The 9292-nt window shown below is 37.6% G+C and overlaps 1 annotated feature.

Moving 5' to 3' along the window:
• Positions 2735 to 3029: a silencer, noted in NCBI's record as "tiled region #15029; HepG2 Repressive non-DNase unmatched - State 24:Quies". NCBI's record gives its function as "represses a minimal TATA promoter and a strong SV40 promoter by Sharpr-MPRA in HepG2 cells {active_cell/tissue: HepG2}" and the evidence as "EXISTENCE:reporter gene assay evidence [ECO:0000049][PMID:27701403]".

Genomic DNA, 9292 nt, shown 5'->3' with positions numbered 1-9292 from the left:
ACCCTAGTTGGAAGTCCATACACATAAACAGTAATTTCATATTGACTAGGACATTAATAGAAGGAGCATAGGTGCCATGTCATATATAACAAGCTCATTTAACCTAATCCAGGGTCAGTGAAAATTTCCTTGAGGAAAGACTTCTAAGCTAAGACTTGAAAGATTGGCAAAGGTTATATGAGCAAAGGGTGAAGAAAAAGAATGTTCTTGGCTGTATGCCAAAGGCCTAGCTTCCAGAAAAAGAATGACAGGCTTTCAAAAAGCCGAAAGGACATCAGTGTGAAGGGAGTGTAGGCAGGGAGGGTGGGCTCTGAAGCAAATTTGGAGACATAGGCAAAGTCCTTGTCACCCAGAGCCTTATACCACCGTGCTATAGATTTTGGGCTTTATCCCAAGGGCAAGTGAAAACAAATACTTTAAACTAGGGAGTGACATGATCAGATCTGTGTTCCATAAATTCACCTTGCATGCAAGGTGGAGAATGTTTGGGAAGGGCAAGTACCCATGTAGGATCCCATACAGCAGATCCCTATGGGGCATCAGATGATGGTGCATGAGCTAAGGTGGTGACAGTAAGAAAAGGAATGGTAGGTAGATTGAAGGGAGATGGTCAGTAGAAGCCACAGAGTTTGGTGATTTAACTAGCTAGGGGAGTGAAAGAAAAGAAATAAATATGTGTGAAAAGAATGAATAACTGGGCCGGGCGCAGTGGCTCATGCCTGTAATCCCAGCACTTTGGGAGGCCAAGGCAGGTGGATCACCTGAGATCAGGAGTTTAAGACCAGCCTGGCCAACATGGTGAAATGCTGTCTCTACTAAAAATACAAAAATTAGTAGGGTGTGGTGGCGGGCACCCTACTAATTCCAGTAGGGTAATTCCAGCTACTCGAGAGGCTGAGGCAGGAGAATCGCTTGAACCCAGGAGGCAGAGGTTGCAGTGAGCCAAGATTGCGTCTTTGCACTCCAGCCTGGGCAACAAGAGCAAAACTCCATCTCAAAAAAAAAAAAAAAAAAGAAAGAAAGAAAGAATGACTGGCTTTCATATTTAATATTCAGTCATCTTCATTATAAAGCAAAAGCATCACACTCCACGTAGACCCATTCTCTGTCTCTGCCAGCATTGACTAGGCCTGTCTGGGGAAGATGAATAAAGTCTGTTCTTCCCAGACCTTTCCCTTCAGTGTAGGGTTTAGGAGAAGATCTGGGAGAGGCAATTTTCCTTAAGGAAGTGCTATGGTAAAGCTGCAGGCATCTCCTGGGTTGACTGCTGCTGCCTCTTCTGCCAGCACTAACCATTCAACAATGCCTTAGTGTGGCAGACATCCAAGGGCTGCCTGTCTCCCACGCCAAACACATGTCTGCCTTGGAGGAAACAGCTGGGGTCTCCTCAATGCATGGTTTCTGATGAGAAAATTCAGCTGTGACTTAACATTTTTTTGCCAACCCCCGCCCCTTCAGCTCCCACCTTGGCGGTCCTCCACCCATCAAAGATCCATTCCTGCCACTTGGGCTGCTCTCTTTGGGGGGACACCAGCAAGCCCAGCTATCTTAGGTTGGGTCCATTCAATCAGAAAAACATCCACTTGTTATTTCCATGCTAAGTGGTAGGAGCACAAGCCTCTTGGTCTTTACCTCTTCCCTAGGCCCCCAGTCACTCTTCAATTCTCTTTCTCCATATTCAGCGAACTAGGGATGGATAAGCAGTCCTACTAGCTATGCAGTTGTCTAACAGGGTAGTGAAGGGGCAAACACCTCGATGTGACTGGTGATTCTCTTGAGACCTTCCTGCATTGGCTTCAGGGAAGCCACAGCCCCCACCTTACTGCCACCATGTGAAGATAGAGTAGAGCTTCTCTCCAAGAGCACTATGCTTCCCAAAACTGGTCATCTTCTCTCCACCCAGTCCTCCGGCCATATGATTGGGCTGGGAACAGGAAAGGTGACTGGATTCATGGAACAGATTCTGGGGTACTCTTGATTAGCCTTTTAGGGTGGGGAGATAGCTCTAAATGCTGGAAACTCTCTGGAGTTCAAAAGTTAAGTTCTTGGTGATTTTGGTTTCCACTTCAACCTTAGCAACAATCCTGACAGCATAAGAAAACGCCTTTCCGTAGCTGATTATAATTTGAACAATGATACCTTTTACATTCTTCATAATGCTATAAAGTTAAAGGGCTTCTTGATGGTAGAGGGGAAAGTGGTAGGGTTGAGGGTTGGAGTATAAAAGCTGTACTGCAATGACATGAAATAAGAAGATTATGTTTCTTAGGTCCCAGTTCATCTCAGGATTGTGCTCCAAACCTAGTCTACTGTTGGCCATGGAAGCCTGAACTTGATATGCCAAGAAGTTGGCATCCAGGAAGACTGTAGAAGGAGCAAAGGAGAGGGGGCAGATGTGAGCAGTCCAATGATAACTAAAGGCAAAGCTCACTGAGATGAGCTTGGGGAAGTGACATATATTTGATTTCTTTGGAGAAAGACTAAATGGAGCCTGAATTATAAGCCTTTGTAACCAAGCATATTAGTAAAGTAAAGTAGCCATTTAAAACTTTTAATGAGAACCACTTAAAATTCCTTAAATTTGAGAAATTGTCATTTTTCATTGTCTTTATTATTTTCCTCCCAATTAGAGACATCTTGAACAATGTTTAATAGCTGTTTTCTGATAGAATATTTCTCACAAAAAGCCTCTACCATGAAAACCAGTGAATAATCTGTAAGTGCTCTCAAATGATAAAAAGGGATGAAAAGGGAAAAGTAATTGCATGTCTTGCACCTGCCTCCTGAAATTCGTTAGCAGCTTATGGTGCCCTGAAATCCTTTTTGAGGATGTTAAAAACAATCGCACAATTGTTCTGCTTCATCCTGTGTTTTATTATTCTAGCACTTAAGTAGCACAGACATAGAGAAGGTTTTAGATACATAGCCTGTTTTCAGACATAGAATACATCTCTGCATGCCATTAATTCTGAATTCTTACCACTTCTCAAAAGCACTTGTTTTTGCTTCAAGGGGCCATACCAACTCGAAACCAGCAAATTAAGTAATGCATGAAGGAAAGAGAATTCTGAAAATGGATTGTACTTTTAAAGTAACTTCACAAGCAGAAATCTTTAATCAGTACCTCCTTCAGTGCTGTAATTTATTTGGAAGAAACACTTCATTTCCTTACATAGAAATGTCAAATACAAATTGAGAAGCTTCGGTTAATCTTTCCCTTTTCCACATCTCACCCTAAGGGTGTTCCTCAAATATTGCATGTATTGACACCATCCCTGACTCAGTGACTCCTCTTGCTTGGAAATATTGGATAGTGCTTCAGCGATATGCTTCATCTGATTTATGCCAGATGGCCATCCTGTGAGGTCTTCATAGCAGCATCTTCACAGAAGAAGAATCTTGCTGCTTCTACTTACTTCTCCTGTGAACTTATTAGAGCCATTTATGAATGAGAGTTGCTAAAAAAGGTAATGACAATAATTGCTACCACTTACTGAGCATGTACTGTAAGGTGCTATTCTACATTATCTATTTTTTTTTTACAACAACCTGAGAAAAAGTATATTTCTGGCCTATCTTATGGTGGGGAACTGAGGCTCAGAGAAATTGTGATTGCCCAAAGACCAACTATTTCTTTTCCTGAGAACTTTTGTCTCAATAAAAATGGTAAGAAGGTCAGAACTTGGGACCTGCCAAGAGTTCTAGGAACATAAACACCTGAGGAGAGAGACTTGATTATTCATTTCAAGAGTTCAAGTAAATCTGGTCAATCCATCAGAGCAGAGTTAGTTTAAATCCTAACATCTCAGGTGCTGAGAGGAACAAAGGACAAATAGCTAATGACATTCTCTTGCCCCCAAGAATATATATTTCATCTGCCAGGCAAGATTATCCTGAGATAAAGAGAGTCAGATATGACAGATGAAGACTACTCATAAAGTGCAAAACTCTACGGTAGACAAAAGGTGTTAAAGAGAGCCATAGAAATGATTACAATTTCAGGAAGGAAGAGGAAGTGAGGTGGGCCATAAAACTCATTGTGATTTCCATGGAGAAGAAAGCAAAAGGCTTTTCAGATCAAATTTCAACCAGTTGCTGCTTAATTGAACCCTAGCCTTCTGCATTTCTGTCCAATGGCAGTAGGGCTCCAAAGAGCATCCCTTGACTTGCCCTCACTTATGCAGTGTAAACTTGAGGAGCTAACCCAGGCTGCTCTCAGCAGCTCCTCCAAGTCAAGTGGTCAGCTGAGATGGTGGCCTCCCTTGTCTGCTGCTAATTCAAGCTCAGTTCTCATTAATTGACTAGATATTTGGTGTTACGGTGCTATCAGTTCTACTTGGGATGAGTTTTGTTTGCCATTTATAGTCAAAACAAAACAAGCAGATATCAGGCTTTAACTATTGCCCACACTGTACAACCCAGGATTGATCATCTCTATATTCAGAAAAATGTTTTCCTGGAAACCACATATTTCTCACCACCAACCACATTCCTTCGAGACAGCTGCTTTTGTATAATACTTTCAAACACTTGGGGAGATAATATTTATTAAGTCTTTTGGCATATTCCAAATTTAAAATTGTATGAGACCTTTGCTTTTTTTGCCCTAAATATATATACATTTAGAATGACAATATCATTTAATGTTCAGCATAGTTTCTGGTATATAGTGGGTGCCCAATCACTATTAATCACTTTTCTCCTTTTTTCCTTCCTGCAATTTACAGATGAAGAAACTGAAGCTCATAAAGGTTAAAAATCTTGCCAAAGTCACAGTCAAAAACTACTGGCTCTAAGAGATGAACCTGGAACTGTGAGAAGCCTAAGCTCCTACTCTTTTTATGGGACACAAAAATGTAACCAAAAGTTTAGTTTCCCTCTCATACATGGATATATGATTCATATAGTCTCTCCATCATTCCTATTCTCTCTCACATAGTATCTTTATCTTCCTCTTTGTTTTAGATAGGGTTGTTGAGTTATAAGTTATATACAGTAAAATTGAGTCCTATTATGTATATGAGTTTGACAAATCCATACATTTGTATAGGCAGCGTCTTAATCAAAATATAAAACTTGTCATCATCCCAGAGCCTCTGCCTTCCCCTTTTCTGTGAATCCTCTTCCCCAACCCTCAGCCTATGTGATTTGATTCTGTTCTTATGATCACCTTTTCCATAATGTCAAATAAATGTTATCATACTATACACAGCCTTAAAAAATTGAGATATCACTCACATACCATTAAGTTCACCCCTTTAAAGTATAGAGTTCAGTGGTGTTTAGCCCATTCACAAGGTTTTGCAACAATCACTACTAGCTAATTCCAGAATATTTTCATCAATCCCAAAAGAAGCCCCATGCCCATTAACAGTCACTCCCCATTCCCCTCTACCCCATCCCTTAGAAAACACTATCATTCTATCTACCATTACGGATTTGCCTATCCTAGATGTTTTGTATAAGTGGAATCACACAATATGCGGCCTTTGTGTCTTGCTTTTTTCATTTAGCGTAATGTTACCAAGTTTCATCCATGTTGTAGCATGTATCAGTACTTCATTCCTTTTTATGGCTATTTAATAGTCCATCATATGAATATGCCATATTTTGTTTACCTATTCATCAGTTGATGAACATTTAGCTTGTTTCTACTTTTTGGCTTAAATAATGCCTCTATGAACACTCTTGTACAAGTATTTGAGTGGGCATATGTTTTAAATTCTTTTGATCCTCTCCCTCCCACTATGCTTATTGCCTGGGTGATAAAATAATCTGTACATCAAAGCCCCAAGACATGAAATTTGCCCATATAACCAACCTGCACATGTACCTCTGAACCTAAAATAAAAGTTAAAAAACTTCTTTTTTGAGTATACACCGAGGAGTGGAATTGCTGGTTCATATGCTAACTCTATGTTTAACTTCTTGAGTAACCATCAAACTTATCAAAATGCTTTACCATTTTACATTTCTACCAGGAATTCATGAGAGTTCTGATTTCTCCATATCCTCTCCAACAGTTGTTGCTCCCATCTTTTTTATTATGGTCATCCTAATAAGTATAAAAATATTTTGTGGATTTTATTTGCATTTTTCTAATGATTAATGATGTTGAGCATCTTTTTATGTCCTTATTAGCTATTTGTAAATGTCCTTTGGATATCCATTCAAATGTTTTGTTCATTTTGTAAATGGGTTTTTCTTCATAGCCTTTTGCCTGGCTTCTTTCACATATGTGAGTATAATCCTTTGAAAATTCCTTCATGTTGTTGCATTACTGTTTGTTATTGAGTAATATTCCATTGTATGAATATACCATAATCTTTTTATCCATTTACCATTTGATGAGCATTTGGGTTGCTTCCTGTTTGGGGCAATTATGAATAAAGCTACTATAAATACTTTTGTACAATTCTGTATTTGTATACATGTTTTAATTTCTTTTAGGTAAATACCTAGGAGTAAAATACTGTATCATATGGTAAGTACATGATGGCCTTTACAAGAAACAAACTGATTTTTAAAGTAGCTGTACCATTTTGCATCCCCACCAATAATTTATGAATGTATGAGATATTTCTAAAGCTTCTTGCCAGCACTCAGTATTTTCAGGCTTTTAAATTTCAGCCATTCTGTTGTTAAATAGTGATATTTCATTATGGTTTTAATTTGCATGTCATTAATGTATTTTTAAATTTCTTTTTTATTGGGGAAGATTTTGCCTTTTTAAAAGAGTTTTTTTTTTTAAGAGCAGTTTTACGTTTACAGAAAAACTGAGTATAAAGTGATTTCCTGTATACCCCCTTACCACCAGCACCATCCCAGTTTCCTTTTTATGAACATCTTGCATTAGTGTGGTATATTTGTTACGATTGATGAACCAATATTGATACATTATTGTTAACTATAGTCCATAGTTTATTTTAGGGTTCACTCTGTGTTGTACATTCTGTAGGTGTTTATACATATATAATGATATATACAACATTACAGTATTATACAGAACAATTGTCCTACCCTAAAAATCCTCTATGCTCCATCTATTCATCCCTTCCTCCTTCTGAACACCTGGGAATCATAGATTTTTTTTTTTTACTGTCTCCATAGTTTTGCTTTATCCAAAATGCCATATAGTTGGAATTATACAGTTTGTAGCCTTCACATACTGGCTTCTTTCACTTAGCAATACACCTTTTAGTTTCCTCCATGTGTTTTCACAGCTTGATAGCTCATTTTTTTTTTTTTTCATTTTGCTGAGTACTGTTTCACTGTACAGATGAACCACAGTTTGTTTATTCATTCACCTATTAAAGGACTTCTTGGTTGCTTCCAAGTTTTATCAATCATGAATAAAGCTGTTTTAAACATTTCTGTGTGGGTTTTGTGGAGATGTAAGTGTTCAATTCATTTGAGTAAATAACGGAGCATAAATACTGGATCATAAGGTAAGAGCGTATTAGTTTTGTGAGAAAATGCCAAAATGTCTTCCAAAATGGCTATCCCATTGTGCACTACCATCAGCAATGAATGAGAGTTTCTGTTGCTCTACACCCTCACCAGCCATGGTTGTTGTCAATGTTTTAGATTTAACAACACTAATAGGTTTGTAGTGGTTTCTCATTGTTTTAATTCCCAAGTCTCTAATGATATATGATGCTGAGTATTTTTTCATATACTTATTTGCCATCTTGTTATCTTCTTTGGTGTCTGTTAAGTCTTTGGTCCATTTTTTAGTCAGGTTGTTTGTTTTCTTATTATTGAGTTCAAGAGTTCTTTGTATAATTTGAAAACAAGCCTTTTATCAGATCTGTATTTTGCAAAGGTTTTCTCCCATTTTGTAACTTGACTTTTTCATTATTTCATAAACACTGTCTTTCACAGTGCAGTTTCATCAACACTGTCTTTTGCAGTTTCTGTATTTTTTTTGCAGAGCAGAAGGTATGAATTTTGATGAAGTCCAACTTACCAATTTTTTTTCTGGATTGTGCTTTTGGTCTTGTTACTTAAAAGCCATCATCAAACCCAGCACACCTGGGTTTTCTACTGTGTTATTTCTAAGAGTTTTATAGTTTTACATGTTACAGTTAGGCCTATATTCCCTTTTGAGTTAATATTTGTGAAATATGTAAGTTTTCTGTCTAGATTAATTTTTTATGTGGATGTCCAGTTGTTGTTTTGTATTATTTATCCCTTGAATTGCCTTTGCTCTTTTTCAAGGATCAGTTGACTTTGTATGAGTTCATTTCTGGGTCTCTATTCTGTTTCATTGATATATTGTCTATGGTTTTGCCAATATCACACTATCTTGAAAACTGTAGCTTTATAGTAAGTTTTGAAGTCAGGTAACATCAGTCTTCAGATTTTGTACTATTTCAATAATGAGTTGGATATTCTGGGTCTTTTGCCTTTTCATATAAACTTTATTTTTTTTTTCTTTTGAGATAGAGTCTCATTATTGCCCAGGCTAGAGTACAGTGACCTGATCTTGACTCACTACAACCTCAGCCTTCCGGGCTCAAGTGATCCTCCTATCTCAGTCTCCCAAGTAGCTGGGACTACAGGCTTGTGCCACCATGCCCAGCTAAATTTTGTATTTCTTGTACACAGAGGGTCTCACTATGTTGTTCATACTGGTCTTGAACTCCCACCTTGCCTTCCCAAAGTGCTGTGATTACAGGTGTGAGCCACCATGCCTGGCTGATTTTTCATATAAACCTTACAATCAATTTGATGCCATCCACAAACTAACATGCTGAGATGCTGATTGATATCTTGTCAGATGTAAGTTCAATTTGGAAAAAACTGACATTTTGATAATATTGAGTTTTCCTATCCATGAACATAGAATATCTCTCCATTTATCTAAATCTTTGATTTTGTTCATCAGAGTTTTGTAGCTTTCTAACATATATTTTGTTAAATTAACAGTTAAGTATTTAATTTTTTTGTTGCTAATGTAAATGGAATTATATACTTTTATTTCAAATTCTCATTGTTCATTGCTGGTATATAAAAAAGCAGTTGAGTTTTGCATATTAACCTTGCATCCTACAACATTGTTATAATCATTTATTAATTCTAGGAGTTTTTTAACTGATTATTTGGGATTTCTACATAGACAATTAGGTCACGTGCAAACTAAGACAACTTTATTTCTTCCTTCCCAATCTGTATTGTTTTTATTCCTTTTGATGTCTTTTTTACTTAGCTATCACTTCCAATATAGTGTTGAATAGGAGTGGGAAGAGTAGCTTCCTTGGGTTGTACCTGATCTTAGCAAGAAAGCATC

This window comes from Homo sapiens, chromosome 5 (assembly GCF_000001405.40).
Source record: "Homo sapiens chromosome 5, GRCh38.p14 Primary Assembly".
In the NCBI taxonomy this organism is placed as follows: domain Eukaryota; kingdom Metazoa; phylum Chordata; class Mammalia; order Primates; family Hominidae; genus Homo; species Homo sapiens.
The sequence above is the reverse complement of the archived record's forward strand: the minus strand, read 5'-3'. Positions and strand labels throughout refer to the sequence as shown.